The sequence below is a fragment of the Homo sapiens genome, chromosome 1 (assembly GCF_000001405.40).
Source record: "Homo sapiens chromosome 1, GRCh38.p14 Primary Assembly".
Lineage (NCBI taxonomy): Eukaryota > Metazoa > Chordata > Mammalia > Primates > Hominidae > Homo > Homo sapiens.
In genome coordinates, this window is record NC_000001.11 from 51,418,255 (window position 1) to 51,438,737 (window position 20,483).

At 36.9% G+C, this 20,483-nt stretch overlaps 1 protein-coding gene across 8 annotated transcripts in view; it reads right to left on the reverse strand.

The window, feature by feature from the left end:
* EPS15 (epidermal growth factor receptor pathway substrate 15) overlaps window positions 1-20,483 on the reverse strand; it is a 165,004-nt gene that overhangs the window by 63,992 nt on the left and 80,529 nt on the right. For 7 of the 8 annotated variants that reach the window (XM_017000618.3, NM_001410796.1, XM_017000617.3 and 4 more), the window contains one exon: window positions 3,532-3,604. In XM_017000618.3, coding sequence (XP_016856107.1) covers window positions 3,532-3,604 — 73 coding nt within the window. Of the gene's footprint in view, window positions 1-3,531; window positions 3,842-20,483 lie in introns of those variants that run through there. The other variant, NM_001159969.2, reaches the window with a different exon arrangement.

Consider the following 20,483-nt stretch of genomic DNA (forward strand, 5'->3'; position numbering starts at 1 on the left):
GAAAGAAAGGACACACATAAACACACACACAATCTGTCTGTCCATCTGTCCTTGGCAAAGTCAATGGAAGCAAAGGTTCAGAGAGGTAGGAAGATATCCAGGAGAATACAACCCAAGAAAGGAGTACCTAATACAAGAAGGACGAACAGATTTGGCCTTAAGATTATTCTTGGCCCTGGGGAGAAAATGCACAGTGTGGTATGGGCAAGCAGCAGACTGTACAGGGTTGCTACAAAGATAGGAAGGGGGGGAAAATGGCCACACAAAGCAATAAAAGTAGAGCAAAATAAGTTGGTAGTTAAAGTGGCAGCAATAGCCAAGGAAGGGGTATTTTCAAATTGAAGAGTCCTATGTCCAAGAGGCCTATGTGAAGAAAGAGAAGAAAGAGCTTAAAGGTGAAGAGAAGATAATAAAGAGATGATTGTAGGGTGCGGAATAATACAGCTAGTAAGAACATTTACTGAACACTTACCAAGTGCCAATCACTCTGTGAGGCACTTTACTGCATTATCTCATTTTATTCTTACATCAGCTCTTAAGTGTTTGTTATTTTTATTATCCCATGTTACAGAAGAGGAAACTAAAGTATAGAATGGTTAAATTACTTAAGATCACAAACCTAGGAAGTGGCAGAGCTAGGAACTGAATTCAAGTTTGTTTGACATCAAATTGTTGCTATAAAGTTCTACTCAAAACTGAAGAAACCAGGCATATGAGAGTGAATTTCTAAAATATCTGTTGACTACTCAGAAGAAAAAAATTTTTAATAAGATCATACATAGGCAATTCTTTAAGGTAGGAAGAATGTGAGCCTACTTTCTCCCCTTATGAAAAACAAAACAAAAAATACACACCCAAACCTTAGACATTTTAGATAAAATGGCTTTTCACAACATTTCCCCCTTGGAATTGGATCACTTTGGGCCTAATTTGTCCACAGAACTTGATCCACTGGTATATATCTCATACAAGCTAACAGTGATCATCTCATGAAATAAAATGTGAAGTCATCTTCAAGAAAAAATCCTAAACAGAAAGTTTTCAAGGCAGTAATTAACAGAAATACAGACAGGAAACAAAAATTCAGAAATTAATTACATAGCAGACTTTCTACTCTAACTGAATTAGACAGACTACATAAACACAAAACAAAAAAAAAATTAAAGCTTTTGGCTTTAAAAGTTTGATTTCTGTGTTTGAGATATGAGCTCATATTATCACTGTGACTTTATTAATATGGAGAAAAGCAAGAACACTCAAAAAGCCAAGTGCGGCAGGTACTGATAGGTCAAAATTCCCTTACTTCTCCTCCCCAATGTCTTCATTTTGACATTTCTCATTAGCATCACCATTAGAAAGTAGATCAGAAAGAAGCAGTGAAATACACTCTCTTTGATTCTGCCATTTATTAATAGCTCCAGTGAGTTGCCTTTTGCCAGGGAAATTAGAAAGTAAGTATTGAGAGTTGGAGTTATTTACAGACTTTAATTATCCATATTATTTCCAGTCTACATCTCAGTACCAATGGGTAAATCAGAGTTACCTCAAAATAGGTAATGAAATATACTTATTACCACCTATGGTAAGTTTTGCTTCAGAAAATTGAAAATGATCACTAATATAAGAGTTTTAATTACTGGTAGATGTCAACTATCCACATCATTCTTAGTCTAGTACCTCATTACCATGCGTAACATAGATAACTGTAGTGTATAATGAATAAATAATGAATCTACTAACCCAAATCTTTAATTAATCCACTATTTTTTTCATTGATTATTACTTGGTCTTTACTTACCATGGCCCAAGATGCCTTACTTATACTTAGAGCACTCTATGTGGAAAAATTGAACCATTTCGACTTCCTGTGCCAATCACACATTTTGGATTTTGCAAAGCTTAAGGTTAGACATACACCTTACCATTGCCACTAAGTAAGAAGGGCAAGCAAATCACGGAGAAATTCTGATGGACAACAAAACTTCTATAATTATAAGACACCAAATGTTCAGGGATAGCCTATTTAAACTGAAGGAAACAATGTAAATTTCAGCACTCTTCTAAACTGGGTATTTAAATTCACATCCTCAAAAAATGCAGCAGGGAAAAACCAACAGGTAGATATACTCAACAAAATACTGTCTATCACAAGAACCTATGTACTTTAAAGCAGTAACTGGCTAAATTTAGAAGCTGTCCAAAATTGTATCAGTAGCTACACCTATTTCTTCAAATTATGAAAACTTGTGTAGATTATTTTATCTTCCATTTTAAACTATTTTTAGTAATAACTGCTTAGAATGTGTGGCTCTTTTGCATTTCCTAAGAAGCTCAAAAACTGCACAAAATAATGTAATTCAGATAACTTACCCTCTTATGCCCACCTAACCTCACTGCCAGAGAGAGAATTATATTGATGATGATCTCTTAACTTGCACTGCCTTCAGGAAAATTCAAGTAAATATAATAAATGTAGTCACCCAATCAGAGAATCAACTTCCAACAAGAAGTCTCTCTGGCTTCTTCCTCAATTCTTCAGTAAATCATTCTCCCCACCCTAGCACAGTCCACCAGACAGACAATCTCTAATGAATGTCCTGCATCAAAACAAAACAATGGGCCTAACACAATTTAGAGTTTTTCCCTACTTAAAACTATTAGGAAAAGCAGGAAAATCCAACATACAAGCAACACATTAAGAAATGCCCATCCAAGAGTTCTTACTAGCAACTGCTACCAGTGCTTCTATATCCAATCTCCTCTATGTGCCGGTGCAGCACTAAGGAAACAGTACCCCAATAACATGGCCACATGCATTGCTTACTGCTCTAAGTGAGGCACTGCCCAGTTTTCTCTATTTCTAACGTTAGAAACACTGCTACTCCCTTATTTTTATCATTTCCCAAACAAAAACTGAGGTTTTTGTCATCCTTTCTCTTTGTAAAATGAAACAATTTAACACAACACCTAATGAAAATGAACTAAAGCTCTTTATGCCAAAGTTTAAGATATGCTGGTTACTAAGCTACTCATAAAATGCTACTTTAAATTGTTCTGTATCATCTCCCACCCTACAAGTATTATGAGAAACAGTCCTTTAACATACTAGGTCTCCTAGCTAACAAAAACCTCACATGCATGAAAAAGCATACTGGTTTTTGATGATGATGATGATGATGATGATGAGATGATGATCTCACTCTAATTTTACTGGTGCAAAAATATTAACATTGTAAGTCATGCAAACTTACCCCTTTAATGATATAATATGCAGGTAAGTACCATTTAAAAAATACTTTCAAAACTAGAAATCTATGCTGAAAAATACTGCTTTCTCATTGCAGTATAATCTTTGCAGGCCAGAATTCCAAGCAAGAACAATCATCTTGGAAAAGATAAACATTTATATAATATAAACATTAGGCATTCTCTTGACCTAATACTACATCCAGCAAATAGTAAATAACCATATAAATTTAAAATGAATAGTCCTAAATCAGCAGTGGAACACTAAATTTTATGGTCACTTACCTGAACCTCACTTGTCCTCTGTTTAATAGTATCTTCCTTCTCCTTAAGGTCCTGTTCCACATTATTCTTTTCCCTAGAAGACCAGCAAACAATGCAAGAATATTTTAGAACATCAGCTACAGCTGGTATGGTTATCCATCCTCCTAATCCTGAATCGCTTTTTAAATACATAGTGAAACATTCAATTTTTAAATGAAGGGCAGATTTTTCTACCCTCTTTCAATTATTTATGAAATAAAAATCAATATAAGCTCCATTTGTAAAAAAAAAATTGCTTTCTCACTAAAATGTGGTGAAAAGAGGATAGATTAAAAAAGGAAGAGGAGAAAAATAATCAATGAAACACTCAGGTTTCACTGATGTCACTGTTGCTATGGAAATAGTGTCCAATGAAAATTGCTGGTAAAGAAAAGGAGGGGTTGCATCAGCTCTGTAAGGTTAACCCTTAGGTACCACTGTCAAATTAAATGAAAATGGCTAATAAAAACAGTCAACAATACTAAGGAAAAAGACATTTACTGAAGTGTTAATTTCCCCTTAAATCACTGGTGTGCATCAATTTTAGAATGAAACAACAGAGAAAATGGGAAAGATTATTAATACACAGGCAATTTGCTCTATCAAAAATTACATCTCAAAAAAAGCTATTTTAGGACCATATATCAAATCCAATTGATCAAATATACAAACAGTATATATAAAGTAAAAAAAGAACCACAGCAGCATTTATCTCTTCTGCTCTTCAAATCAAACATGCTGGGCTCCGCTTTTACTTTGAAACATCGTTACCTAAATTCTTATATGCTTTAATCAGGCCTGAGTGGCTATGAACGAATCCCAAGCAACCTTAGATTCAGAATTGCAAAATAAAGCTGTCACTTTTGATGTAACAATTTAACTGCCCATTTGTAGTTGTACTGAAATCATGCGTGCACACGCACACACAAACACACACACCTCCCTTCACTTTCTTTTCTACAAAATGAGAGAAAAAGCTCAAAGAATTCTGCAGCAGTACATTTCTGGGGTCGCAGGGAAAGGTAAAAGGCGGCAACATGGAGAAGGGAAGACAGCATTTAACAAGTCCTCCAGATTAGTATAGCCAAGTTTCTCCTTCGAGCTTCAAGACTACATTTCAGTTTCCATCTCAGACATAACCCAAAATGTAAGCTCAGGCTCCATTTAGCTCCAGCATAAAGGAAAGTGAGAAAATTATACCAAAGCAGATACTTAAGGGACAACTGCATGCTTCATTTATATTTCTCACCTTCTTGAGGTGAGATTTTAAATGTAGACAAAAATCAACTGTTTTGGATACGTAGGCACAATGTTCTTAAGATGTCTATGGAAGAAAGCATACAAATAAAGCTATTTGTACACTGTTACTTTTAAACATTTGAGATGGCCAAGGAGCTCACTAACCGTTTGTCAGATGGGTCGCAATGTGGGTCGCGATGTTGTGATTTTAAACAGTCCCTTACCATGAGAATCATTGTTGCAGCCCGATCCTTCCATACCTCAACCTATTTATCATGCAAAGACCATCCCCCACCTCCAACCCTTATATAAATTAAGCAAATTCAAGAAATACAAAAACACGGGGAAAAATTTCTGAAAATACCCAACAAATTCTGCAAGCTCAATCTTGGAAATTTTCTTTCCTCCTTATGTGAGCAGATGAATGTTTTCAGTCTTGCTGCAGCATGTTAGAGATAAGTCACATGAAAATCTAGCACCCTCCCCCCATCCCAAATCCTCAGAGGCATTCCACACAAGGTCAGTATCAACTCAGCTCCTGGTTTCTGAAAGTAGATAATAACAAAAATAGAAAACACTACAGTGTCACAGATCAGCAGTGCACACATTTGTACTGAATTCTTTCTGCTCTGCTGCTAACTGCTGTCACTGACAGTGTCTGCTCAGATCAAGTGTGCATGCAGGAAAACAGGGCTACAAGAAGCCAGTGAGCTGACTCAAAGTAGCCAAGGCAGAAAGATGGGAGAGCAAAGGAAGGAAGCTCACTTGGTGAAAATCCAAAACAGATTACAAAGGACTCAGCTCTAAACAGCAAACACAGTCTATGTTTGGGTAAAATGGAGGAAGCTTGAGGACTACAAATTTCTCTTCATAATTTGGGGTCTATGGGGGAGGAAGAGGAAGGGGAGGAAAGGATGGTGTTATCTCTAATCATATCCTGAAGACCATTCCCAACTAAAAAAAAAATATGGAGATCTTTAGGCATTAATTCCTCTTAGTAAGAAGATCAATTAAATTTAACTTTTGATTCATGTTTATCTAATAAAATTCTGGTCTTACAATATTCCTTTTATTAGCACAACCAAGTAGTATAACATATATTGCTAAACAGAAAACTTAAAAAGAATTAAATGTTCAATTATATCACTTTCTATTAAAAAAATTATGACTGAAAACTTGTCCTGTATATCAGACTGAAAATCAAGTAATTTTCTTGACCTAGTTTACAGTTTCAGAGATGCTCAAATGTTATTCTGTTGTCTTGCAATGATTCTTAACCTTTATAACTATTCTTCTCATTTCAGGCAAATAAAAATATCTAAACATATCTTTGTGTGCACTTAGGATACTTGACCATATTTCTTATATTCTCCCTAATTTTGAACATGTATATTTTTCTACAGTTGATGGACACATAATCAATACAAGCATTATTTTTAACACTAGTAATTTAAAAGCAATTCTCTTTAAGGATCTGTGCCACAATAAGAAGTAATATTTATATGCAACTTCTCAAGGAGCCCACCAATATAGGTAGATAAGACAGATATAAGACATTATTTCAAAAATAGGTGTGTGAGGCTGGGTGTGGTGGCTCACACCTGTAATTCCAGCACTTTGGGAGGCCGAGGTGGATGGATCACTTGAGGTGAGGAGTTCGAGACCAGCCTGGCCAATGTGGTAAACCCTGTCTCTACTAAAAATACAAAAATTAGCTGGGTGTGGTCTCGCACACCTGTAGTCCCAGCTACTGAGGAGGCTGAGGCAGGAGGATCACTTGAACTCAGAAGGCGGAAGCTGCAGTGAGCAGCTATCAGGCCACTGCACTCCAGCCTGGGCAACAGAGTCAGACTCTGTCTCAAAAAAAAATAAAATAAAATAAAAAAAGGTGTGTGAGCATTTTGCCCAAACCACCACTCATCTTGGATGTCATGACAGGAAAAGCTATTACCTTCACCTTAGTAATCTCCAGAAAAGGGAAATGAAATGATCCTACTCATCCTCTATTTTAGACTATCTTTCAGGTTTTCATTTTTAAGATGCTTACACATCCTGAGGAATCCACAAGTACCAAAGCTATAAAGAACAAGCCAAGAATAAACCTCCCTGGTATTCCAAAGGCTCACAGTTCTGATTCCATGGAGCGGTGAATTTGAACCATCAAGGAAAGCAAATCCCAAGCTAGGCTTTCAGAAGCCTAAGGTTCATAAATACATAAATCTAATATGAAATGGTCAAGTTATTCACAAGGACAGTTAGGCTGAGGGACCTTGAGTCTATGCAATCCACTTCCATTTTCCTAGACTCTATGTACAGGCAGTAGGGTGTAAGCCATCTGTCTCAGTTTTTGATGCAATTCCAATATTATCAAAGACAAGATAAAATCATCTTCAAAGTCCTTCCCAGAAACACAGTTTTATGTCTTTTTTCCTAAACAGCAGCATCCACTATTTCGTAACCAGAAAACATTAAAAACTAGAAACTATTAGAAACTACAAAGTTGTGAAAACTCACAAAGCTGTATTTTCCAATCCTGAAACTTATTTATAAAAATTCTCTTGGAGTACATTTCACCATAAAAATGGTATCATTAAGTAGCTTAACTGTCAATCTCTCTCACAAGCAAACAGAGAAAAATCTAGCTCTTCTGAGAAATAGTTTTTCTCACTCTGATCAGGTCACTTAACCTTTCAGAACCCTAGTCTTATTTTTCATATGTGGATGTTAATATCTCTATCATCTTAGGATTTGCAAGGCAAAATATGTAAGATGTCAAGTAATTAATATTGAGCCTAAATATTAACATTACTTAGAATTTTAAACAACAGTGAAGTAGTTTTTAAATTTGTTAAAAGGAATTATGGGTTATAAAAAAGGTTAGAAAACACTGATCTAATATAGTTACAGAATAAATAATGTAAACACTAAAATTTCTGCCCCCAAAATCTTATCTCAATATCATTCAAAATAACCTATCTACTCTCTACTTTTAGAAATTCATTATATGGTTTTGAAACCATCAGATTTGGAGAAAAATAGGTTACTAAATACTAAATACAAACTCTGTCACAAGTCACCTTACATCACTGTAGTGGTGATGTAAGCTATTTGTTCTGACCGACTCTCTCTCCTTCTAGGGTTCAGCAGTCCTTTTAGGAGATTGCTTCTCTTTCCGCCTCTTCTAATGTCTTTCTACTCATATAGTTCAAACAGAAGATGCCATCTCTCTGGGCAATGACTGTCCAGAAATTGGCTCCTGGTCGAAGCTTAGCCAAAGTACCCCACCACACAATCACAGAGATTAATTCAAGAATGAGCCTGTGACCAATGCCAAAGCAGTCAGAATCTTCATCTAGGATGCCTTTATTTGGAACTGATAAAAAGCTAGCATTCTAGGTAGCAAGCCCTGGCTCCTGTCACCTCCTGTCATACTTAATTTTATGGGCTGATTTGGCTAGGCCACAGTACCCAGATATTTGGACAAACACGACCCTAGATGTTACTGTGAAGGTATTTTTTAGGTGAGATTAACATTTAAATCGGTAGGCTTGAGTAAAGCAGATTACCCTCAATAATGTAGGTAGACCACATCCAATCACTTGATGGCATTAAGAAAAGATGAGGTCTCCCAAGGAATAAGGAATTCTATCTCAGATTGCCTTTAAACTTGAGATGCAACATAAACTCTTCACTGGGTCTCCAGCCTGCCAGCCTGTCCTAGAGATGTCGGACTTGCCAGCTCCCACAATCTTAAAAATTTCTTAAAATAAATCTGTCTCTCTCTCTCTCTCTCTCTATATATATATATATACACACACACATATATATATACACATATATACACACACATATATATACATATATACATACATATATATACACATCCTATTTGTTCTCTTTCTAACCCTCCTTCCCGCCCACTTATACCTTTACTCTTCCAATTATATAGGGGTCATCAAATTCTTTTTGCCTAAACCAGCTCCAGTTAGGTAGGTCATTTCATCTTTTTTAAGCCTCCGTTTTCTTCTCTTCAAAGAGGGATAATAAAACCTGTATCTCACAACTGCATACAGGATTACATAACTTATGCCAGCATACCCAGTTTACATAGTAGATGCTAAATAAAAAGTTAAACACCAACAAACTCTTTATAAGCTCTAGTTTCTGCAGCTATAAAATGAATATCTACTTTACAAACCATATATGGGATTGCTATGAAGAGCGATAGGGAAAATACACAATAAAACCTAATATACCACTATACAACTTATCTACTTACTCAATAACACATACTGAATCCTATTACATACTTGTCACTATGCTATACTTAGGAGGTACATAAAACCAGTGAGATAGGCACCTGTCATTAAGAAGCTCTTAATTCAGTGTATGTGAACACACACCTGGTGTGAGGGGTTGGGGATAAGAATATAAAGAGATAATTACAATGCAGTGTACTAGGTGCTACAACAGGTAAGCACTGTGGGACAGGTAAGGTGCTATTGGAACACAGAGAATGGGAACTTGACTCTCCCTGAAGGAGGTCAGAAAAGGCCTCCTTGGTATCACTGAAGGCAGGATGATTAATTGCAAAGTGAGCTGTGCAGATAATAATGTCATATTTACAATATAAATTACTCCAGTCTGAGAATACTGTGTGATGGAGGTGAGAGACTTCAGCTAAGCCTTGAAGGAAAGAGTAAATGTCAGGTAAGAAAATGGTATTTCTACTAGAGAGAGCTTACGTAAGAAAGCACAGAAGATGTTGGCAAAACAGCAGTAAGAAGCAGACTAAGAAGAAAACTCAAATTTGATAAAATATCTGCATCTACAGATCTAAAAAGCTCAATGAACTCCAAGTAGGATAAACACAAAAAGACTCACACTGAGACACATTATAATCAAACTGTTGCAATAATCTTTAAAATAGCAAGCAAGAAGAAAAGCAACTTGTCAATTTGTGACATATAATCAATCCTTAATAAGATTATCAATGGATTTCTCAGCAGAAACTTGAAGGTCAGAAGGCAATGAAATGATATATTTAAAGTGCTGGAAGGAAAAAAAAAACCTGTCAACTGAGAATTCTATACCTGACAAAACTGTGCTTCAAAAACATGAGGGAGAAATTAAAATATTCTCAGACAAACAAAGGCTGAGGGAGTTCATTACTTCTAGATCTACCCTACAATAAATGCTAAAGGGAGTCCTTCAGGTTAAAATGAAAGGATGCTAGACAGTAACTGAAAGCCATATGAAGATAAAAAGATCTCCAGTAAAGGTAAATACATGGACAAATGTAAAAACCAGTATTACTGTAATTTTTGTTTACAACTCCACTTTATACTTTCTATAGAATTTAAGAGACAAATGCATAAAAAAGAATTTATGAATCTGTTAGTAGATACACAATGTATAAAGATATAGTTTGTGACATCAATAACATAACAGGGGGAGTTCTGATACAGTTTGTGACATCAATAACATAACAGGGTGAGAATGGGCCAGGTGCAGTGGCTCACTCCTGTAATCCCAGCACTTTGGGAAGCTGAGGCGGATGGATCACCTGAGGTCAGGAGTTCGAGACCAGCCTGGCCAACACAGTGAAACCCTGTCTCCACTAAAAATACAAAAATTAGCTGGGTGTGGTGGCAGGCGCCTGTAATCCCAGCTACTTGGGAGGCTGAGGCAGGAGAATCACTTGAACCCAGGAGGCAGAGGTTGCAGTGAGCCGAGATTGCACTGCTGCACTCCAGCTTAGATGACAGAGCAAGACTCCATCTCAAAAAAAAAAAAAAAAAAAAAAAGTGAGGGTAAGGCAGAGGAGAGAATGGAGCTGTATAGGACCAGAATTTTATTTGTGTCTTTAAAGACAGAGTGTCTCTGTTTCCCAGGCTGGAGTGCATTGGTGTGATCATAGCTCACTGCATCCTCGAACTCCTGGCCTCAGGCAGTCCTCCCGCCTCAGCCTCTCAAGTAGCTAGGTCTACAGGTATGCACCACCACAGCCAACTAATTTTATTTTCTGTAGAGACAAGGTCTCACTATGTTGCCCTGACCTCAAGCAATCCTCCCATCTTGGCTTCCATATTCCTGGGATTACAGGCGTGAGCCACCACGCCTGGCCAGGAGCACAGTTTTGTATGGGACTGAAGTAAGTTGATATCAATTCCAATTAGATTATTCAGTCTGGGATGATAAAGTTCTGGAGATTCATAGTGGTGATAACTACACAATTACTGTGAATGTATTTAATGACATTAAGTACATTTAAAATTGACAACAAAAGAGTGAAACTCTGTCTCAAAAAAAAAAAATTACCACTTTAAAATTTTAACCACTTTAAGTGTACAATTAATGACACTGAATTGTACACTTTAAGTAGTTAAAAATTTAAAGTAGTAAATTTTATGTTATGTATATTTTATGATAATAAAAAATTAATGAAAAAAAAGTAGAGAGATGAGAAAATTCTAGACAGACTAACTTACCTAGAATGGAAGGTTCATGTGTGGTTAAATAAAGCTGAAATGGTAAATCAGAAAAAGATTATAAAGAACTTCTGTACTAGGTAAAGACAGCCTTTTACTGTTGTTGTTGGTTTTTTTTTTTTTTTTCTTTTTTTTGAGATGAAGTCTCACTTTGAAGCCCAGGTTGGAGTGCAGTGGCGCGATCTTGGCTCACTGCAACCTCTGCCTCCCGCATTCAAGTGATTCTCCTGCCTCAGCCTTCCGAGTAGCTGGGATTACAGGCATCCGCCACCACGCCTGGCTAATTTTTGTATTTTTAGTAGAGATGGGGTTTCACCTTATTGGGCAGGCTGGTCTTGAACTCCTGACCTCAGGTGATCCACCCACCTCAGCCTCCCAAAGTGCTGGGATTACAGGTGTGAGCCATCGTGCCCAGCCAAGACAGACTTTCAATACACAGGAAATGGTGAGTCCCTTAGAGGTTTCTGAGACATGCTTCTTTGAACACCGAATGGCATTATTTAGCAACACAGCTCTTCTTTCCTGTCTGGCTTGTGGAGGAAGAGAGGAAGCAGAGGCTCTTATCGCTCAGAAAGCTGATGACAATTGCTAGAAAGGCAATAAAACACCCTGACTCTGCTTATCTTAGGAACTGTCAGAAGCCTTGAGCTAGATTACAGTAATAACTATAGAAAGCTGATGAGAAAGTCTTCGTTTTTAATTTAAACAATTTGAAAGTTACATGACCTTTCATTCTAAGAATTCAGAGTTCATGGCCGGGTGCAGTGGCTCATGTTTTTAATCCCAGCACTTTGGGAGGCCGAGGTGGGCAGATCACTGGAGGTCAGGAGTTCGAGACAAGCCTGGCCAACTCGCTGAAACCCCATCTCTACTAAAAATACAAAAATTAGCCGGGTGCGGTGGTGCATGCCTTAATCCCAGCTACCTGAGAGGCTGAGGCAGGAGAATCACTTGAACCTGAAAGATGGAGGCTGCAGTGAGCCAAGATCGTGTCACTGCACTCCTGCCTGGGTGACAGAGCAAGACTTCGTCTCAAAAAAAAAAAAAAAAATCAAGAATTCGTAGTTCACAAAAGCTTAGGTTAAAGTTTGAGAACAAAGACATTTATTCTTACCATAAGTTTTAAATTAAAAGTTCCTTTGCCAGGCACAGTGGTTCACAACTGTAATCTGAACACTTTGGGAGGCTGAAGTGGGAGGACCACTTGAGCCAAGAGTTTGAGACCATGCTGGGCAACATAGTGACACCCACATCTCTATAAAATTTTTTTTTTTAATTAGCTGGGCATGATGGCACATGCCTGTAGTCCCAGCTACTCAGGAGGCTAAGGTGGGAGGACTGCTTAAGCCTGGGAGGTCAAGGCTAAAGTGACCCATGATCACGCCACTGCTCTCCAGCCTGGGCAGCAGAGCCTGACCCTATCTGAAAAATACATTACTTACATACACACACACACACACACACACACACACACACACACACACACACACACACAAAAATAAAACTTGCCTTAATTATATAATCTTTATGTGATACAATTTCATTCTTTCAACAAATATTTATTAAATGTCTACTATATTCCAAACAAGATTGTAGTTGGGCCTCTATTTATAGTTTGCTGGGGAAAATTAGTAGCCATTAATTATAAAAATTAAAGATAAATTCTGTGAAAGTATGATGGTACTATGGGAATAACTAATGTTCTTACTTAGTTCTGAGAGACTGGCTGTTTTTAATGGGTTTTATTTTTAAAAATAAGAGAATATATTTATGGGTGTAAGTAACTGAAAAGAGAGCCTAAGTAGAATCAGAAAAAATACAAACTTTGGGGTGTGGCTTATATGACAAAGCACACCCCCTTAGTGGCAGGTCCCAAAATCAGATGGTTCATTTTACAAAGGTGAAATAATTTCTTTTCTTTTTTTTTTTGGAGACAGAGTCTCACTCTGTCACCCAGGCGAGAATGCAGTGGGGCAATCTTGGCTCACTACAACCTCTGCCTCCCGGGTTCAAGCAGTTCTCCTGTCTCGGCCTTCAGAGAAGCTGGGATTACAGGTGTGCACCACCACGCCCGACTAATTTTTGTATTTTTACTAGAGACGGGGTTTCACCTTATTGGCCAGGCTGGTTTCAAACTCCTGACCCTCAGGTGATCCTCCCACCTCGGCCTCCCAAAGTGCTGGGATTACAGGCGTGAGTTACCGCGCCTGGCCAGAAATATAAATTTATTTTGCAAATCCATAATAATTTATTCTACTTATCTGGCAGGACAAAATGAGATTAAAAGAAACTAACAGAAAAGAAATATAAAACGAAACCTTAACTTTCTGAATTACAAAATAGGGATAATAAAGTTGATGGGCAGGATTAATTTATGTTACATCTAGAAAGACTCCAGAGCAATGCCTGGCATGTAGTTAAGTGCTAAATAAATTTCAGCTATTATTATTATTACCATTACATTGTTTACTAGTATAAAAATACATTTACTGGCTTTTTGAAAGCTGTAATAAAGCACCTGGAGTGATGGCAATCAGGCCTCCAGTATGTCGGCAGAGACTGTGACTCTTAAATCCTCCAGGAGTTGAAATTTCTTGGTAGATGCTTTTGCTTTCCAAAGACAGACTATAATACATCTCAATAATTATTGCTGTATTAAAAGAGGTAAGTGTCCCTTAGTAAGCTACCAGAGCCACAAAACAGTACAAGCAAATGAAATGTATAATAATTCTAACTCAGAACAGGTACAAAGAAGCCACATAGATTATGTATGTATGTATGTATGTATGTATGTATGTATGTATGTATGTATGTATATATTTAATAGAGACTTGCTTTGTTGCCCAGGGTGATCTCAACTCCTGGCCTCAGCAATTCTCTTGCCTTGGCCTCCCAAAGTCCTGGGATTACAGATGTGAGCCACCATGCCCAGCCTAAGTAATTTTTAAATGATCTAACAGGCACACATTAAAAAATAAAAAGAAATGAGTGAAATTTATTTTAATGTAATATTTCAAAATGTAATAAAGATGAAAAATACTAAGATATTTTACATTTTTTTTCATTCTAAATCTTTGAAATCCAGTATATTTTATACTAACAACACATCTTAAATTGGACTAGCCATATTTCAAGTGCTCAATCACCACACAGCTAGTGGCTACTATACTGGACAGCACAGGTTCAGACTTTAGCAAGGAGGTTTTCAAGTAAGGAGAGTCTCCCAAAACAGAGGTTTTAATGATGATCTATACACTTTATGTGAAAATGAATTAGGCTGCCTCCTTACTATCAAAGAAATGCACACCGCAACCTAGAGCTTCAATTATTTAACCAGTAATACCATTCTTAAGGCAGAGTCACAAAAGAGACCTTTTAGTGTCAGTGTCACAGATCTTTAGAGGGTCACAAACACATCAAGTTGGATCATAAGCAAAAGAGCTCCAGATTTGATAATATAAGCAATGAACTCTCCAGACATAATGGTTTCTAATGATATTTGAACTGAACTAAAACAAAAACATAGAATTTTTAAAAATTTGAACCATATGCTAGGATTTAGAAATTTTAAAAAATCGGTTCTTGAATATGACTGAAGTAGAGGTCTATATATTTAGGAACACAGAATCTGGCTACCTGGCTACATAGTTCCATTCACTCTTCAACTAGAGAAAGAAAGTTCATTCAGCTACTCCAACCAATATTTAGTGAACAGCTATTGAGTAAATCCTGTACTCTAAGTGCTGAACTCGGTGTTGGGGATGATGATGATAAATACTAACATGTATTGAGAACTTACTATGTTCCAAGCATTGCGTTAAGCATTGTACATGGTTATTCATATTTCCATTTTACAGATAAATAAACTGAGGTACAGATAGTTAAGTATATCCAGGTCATGTCAGGCAATCTGGAAATCTGGTTAAAAAGCCCATGCTCTGAAATACTACACTATATTGCCTCATTAGAAGTAAGAGTTGGCCTGTGCCATCACACAGAGTCGAGAATCTACTGGGAGAGAAGGAAATTGAGTGCTCTCTGAGCTGAGGTAGATAATCAGGGAAAACTTCGTGGAAATGAAGACTAGTTCATTTCTTCATCTGAAAAACTGAAATAAAGTTATTACCCTTCAGGGATGTTACAAGAGCTCAGCAAGTGAACTTACATAAAGAAGGCACAGTACAATGCCTGATAACTATTATTCTAATTATCTATCCTGTTTACTGGCCCAAGACCAGGATAACAAACAGGCCTGACAGGATGTGGCTTTAACTTCCTGATGTTCTTGCTAAAAGGACAGAGACAGGAAGGAAATGGAAGCTAGTAGATGACAAAATATTAACTCCTGCCTCAGCATAATTTACCACTACCACATTATCCAAGTGACTGAAGCACTCTCTTAGTAGTTTCATCTTTTCCACTGCCAAGAACTTCTCTAACTGAGGCATTTTACTGTCACAGCAACAGCTCTCAAGAATGGGTCCACAGATAGTTTTTAAGTGTCTGGGAACTCCTGAAATAAATACAAAATAGTATCACAGATATACATGTTCTTTTTTTCTGTGGGCAGGGTATAACAGTCTTCATCAGATTTTCAAAGGAAATCCTTGACACAAAAACAGGTCTGCAATTACCATGATTCAGCAATTCCACTTTTGCAAATATACTCCAAAGAACTGACAGCAGGGTCTTGAAATGGTATTTGTATGTTCATGTTCATAGCAGCGTTATTCATAATAGCTAAAATGTGGAAACAACCCAAATGTCCATCAATAGATGAACAGGTAAACAAATGTGGTATGTAAGTACAATGGAATTATTATTCAGCCTGAAAAAGGAAGGAAATTCTGACATATGCCACAACACAGAAGAACCCTGAGGATATTATGCTGAGTGAAATAAGATAGTCATAAAAAGACAAATATCTCACGATTCTGCTTATATGAGATAGTTACAGTAGTCAAAATCATAGAGATAGAAAGTATAATAGAATGGTGGCTGCTATGAGGAAGGGCGGGGAAAATGGGAGGGAGTAGAGTATGGGGAGTTATTGTTTAATGGGTATGGGGTTTCAGTTTTGTAAGATGAAAAGTCTTGGAAATGAATGGTGATGATGGTTGCACAACACTGTGAATATATTTCTTTTTCTTTTTTTGAGACGGAGTCTCGCACTTGTCTCCCAGGCTGGAGTGCAGTGGCGTAATCTCGGCTCACCGTAACCTCCACCTCCCGGGTTCAAGCGATTCTGCTGCCTCAGCCTCCTGAGTAACTGGGATTCCAGGCACCTGCCACCATGCCCAGCTAATTTTTGTATTTTTAGTAGAGACGGAGTTTCATCATGTTGGGCAGGCTGGTCTCGAACTCCTGACCTGAGGTGATTCACCCATCTCAGCCTCCCAAAGTGCTGGGATTACAGGCATGAGCCACTGTGCCTGGCCATGTGAATATATTTCATACCACTGAATTGTATGTTTAAAAATGGTTAAGATGATAAATTACTATGTTATGTGTATTTTATCACAATTTTTAAACATGTGAAAAAAAAGAAAAACTAAGTCTGCAGAATATTTAAAAAAAAAAATCAGCCCACTAACCTTAATGTTCCTGTGAGGATTCAAAAACCTTTTATATATAAAATCCTTTTCTTTTTCTTTTTTCTTTTTTCTTTTTTTGAGACTGAGTCTCACTCTGTTGCCTAAGCTGGAGTGATCTCGGCTGTGAGTGATCTCGGCTCACTGCAACTTCTGCCACCCAGGTTCAAGCGATTCTCGTGTCTCAGCCTCCTGAGTAGCTGGGATTATAGGCATGCGCCACCACGCCTGGCTAATTTTTGTATTTTTAGTACAGATGAGGTTTCGCCATGTTGGCCAAGCTGGTCTCAAACTCCTGACCTCAGGTGATCCACACGCTGCAGCCTCCCAAAGTGCTGGGATTACAGGTGTGAGCCACTGTGTCCGGCCTAAAATCCTTTCCTATAGTCTTCAAAATAAGCTATTATTCAGAAGGTCTTTGCCTTAGTTCAACATTTAACACATGGCTTCTATTCTGCCATAAACTTTGCAGGAAGTAAGTCTTGGAAATATTCTAATATTTATAACATACTTTGCGTCATTCATTCAACCAACTAGCCTATTCCTCGGTGTTAAGTAATGTGTGTGTTAATTTCTAGGCCTATCAAAATGAACAAGACATAGCTCTTGCCCTTAGGAATTAAAAATTTACCAAAAAAGCAATATAAATTACTATAGTTAAACAGTAGAAATACTACAATAAACGAATAAAGCCTCTGGAAGAAGAGGAAAGAAAAGTAATCTGAAGATTTCATGGAAGGCTTGACAGAAGAGACAATATTTAAGACGGGTCTTGAACATGAACAAAACTTTATAAGGTAAAAGGTATGCTCCAGGCAAAGGCGAACAGTAGGATCAGAGGCATAGAAGAATAAAAGTGGTGGTATGTTGAAGTAAGAGGTAATAAACCCATCTATCATACGACTGGAGAAAGGGAACAAAGCTGAAATAGTAGATTCGAGTACTGTACTGAACACTCAGAGTACAAAGAGCAAACACACTGTATCTGTTCTCAAATAGCTTTTTAGTACCACAGGGCAGCATACTGTGAGAGGTGGCTAAGACAGAACGGTCAGAATGCCAAGAGAACACCATGAAGGAAGAGCCTTTACACCATGTTCAAAGAAGTGAACTGGATTCAGTTGGAGATGGGAAGTCACTGAGGGATCTGAGTTGTATTTTATATATCAGTTGGAAGTAGGATGGTCCAAAGGAGGAAAAGGCTCAAAGCAGAGAGCCAATGAGGAGGTTACAGCCATGATCCAGATAAAAGACAAAGGCTAAAACTAAGAAGGAAACATAGAAAACAGAGAAGACAGATTTCAACAATATTGAAAAAATTATTTTCTCATCTATTATGAGCTAAACACTAGGGATACAAGCAGCCCGTGTTTAAGAAGCACATAATCTAGTGGGAGATTAAAAAACACAGAATTATAACAAAGAATGATAAGTGTTATAACAGTTGTAAATATAAAGACTACATAAAATAGGCTCTTAAATAAGACTTGAAGAGAGTATGGAGGTTGGGAGGTAAATCAAGGAAGGCTTCCTCTCCCAGAGGAAATGATGTCTAAGATGAGATTTGAAGAGTGAGAAGTTGATTAGACAAAAGAGATGGGAAGGTAAGGAATCAATTCAACAGACATTTCAAAGGTAGAAGACTAAAGATGAGAAGAAGAAAAATCTCAGGTTTCTAGCTTGAGTGATTGGGTGAATGGTGATGTCACTGAGAAGGGAGATACAAAACAGAGGTGAGGGGACAATTAGGGAATTCATATCCTACTAGATGTTCAGATGAAAACACTAGTAGGCAATGAAAAATACAGGTCTTGAGCTCAAGTAAGAGATTCAGATATTCGATGAGTGTTATATTACAACTACCTGTATTGCTTTTCCTTAAGTTAAAAATATCATACTAATTTAATCTAATTGGCATAATTAAATCATTTAATTAATAGCAAATGTTGAAGAAATCACAGAAAAAAATTTTAAAATATACCTAAAGGTATCTCGCACTTCAAGCTCCCAATGTCTTATATTTTCTACTAGAAACAATTTGGTGAACTAAAGATGAAAACAAAGACAACGAAATCTCATTTTCTGACCAATAACAAAGAACATTCTTCACCCAACTAACTCAAGTTTATATATAGCTTTCAATATTTCCATTGGTTTGCAATGCTCAAAACAAAATATGATTCTAAGAAATATATTCCTTTTTTCATTATGCATTTATCTATTTCCTGAATTTTACAATGAATATGTATTATAACTATCATTAAGAAAAAAGTATTATAAAGTACTACATTCATTATACAGTAATTACAATTTCACATCATACATGCTGCTTACTTAGAGGTTTGATCCCTGGACTAAAAAAAAAAAATTTTTTTTTTTTTTTTTTGAGACAAGAGTCTCACTGTGTTGCCCAGGCTGGAGTGCAATGGCTCACTGCAACCTCTGCCTCCCAGGTTCAAGGAATTTTCCTGTGTTAGCCTCCTGAGTAGCTGGAATTACAGATGTGTGCCACCACGCCTGTCTAATTTTTGTATTTTTAGTAGAGACAACGTTTCACCATGTTGGGCAGGCTGGTCTCAAACTCCTGACCTTAAGTGATCCACCTGCCTCGGCCCCGCAAAGTACTGGGATTACAGGCATCAGCTATCGCGCCCAGCCCCTGGACTAAAACTAAGTATCTTCATCTCAAAACGAAAATGAAGAACTGGCTAAGATTTTGTCAGGTAACAATTTAGCAAAAGCCACAAACGAAATCTGTTTATTTTTTCCTGTTTTGTAGTCATACTCATCACATCCTTATATATTAATAAAAAAATTAAAGGCTGAAGAATTTTAACTTTGCATGGAAAAAACGGTTATTCACAAGAATAAAAACCAAGGTTTTTATAATGTAATACCTTGAAGACTTGGTGATAATGACCTAACACAACTATTTACAAAAGCGTATTTTAACAACTATAATTTTAGCATGGGGATGAGTCTGACTATGACACTAATGGAGTTGACAGATTATATAAGTTTGCCTACACTGTAGATCTCATCTAAAATAAAAGTCCAGGGAAAATATTTTCACAAACGTCAAATCATGTATAAATATACCGCACATTTATAAAATGTGACTATACCCTAAAAACTAACAAGGTTTTGAAATTCTCTGATTTTCCTAATAAGATAGTCACAAAATATTAGATATGTTATTTTCATGCTGTCAGCTGCCATTTACTATATAAGACTGCCACTGGTACAACTTAACATTATAGTTACTAAAAGTTATTGAAAGATTAGTTGACCAAAATGTAACAAATAATGTTTTCAACAGTAAGAGCATTTTTTCTATGATGCTCTAATTCCCATTAAAATTCATTATAGAAATATTTTATACATTAAACAAGTACACTTGAAGTCAAATCAAGCAAGTCCTAGAACATTGGTGTATGTATCCATTTTCATAGGCTTAAGAGGCCCAGATGATAAGTATTTTCAAATCTACCTACTATAACATGTATATTACATATATAAGGAAAGCAAAAATGTTTATGGACCATTTATGGACCACATGAAAATGAACAGTATAAACACCATTATAGGTTCAGTAATTGTTTACTACTTCTAT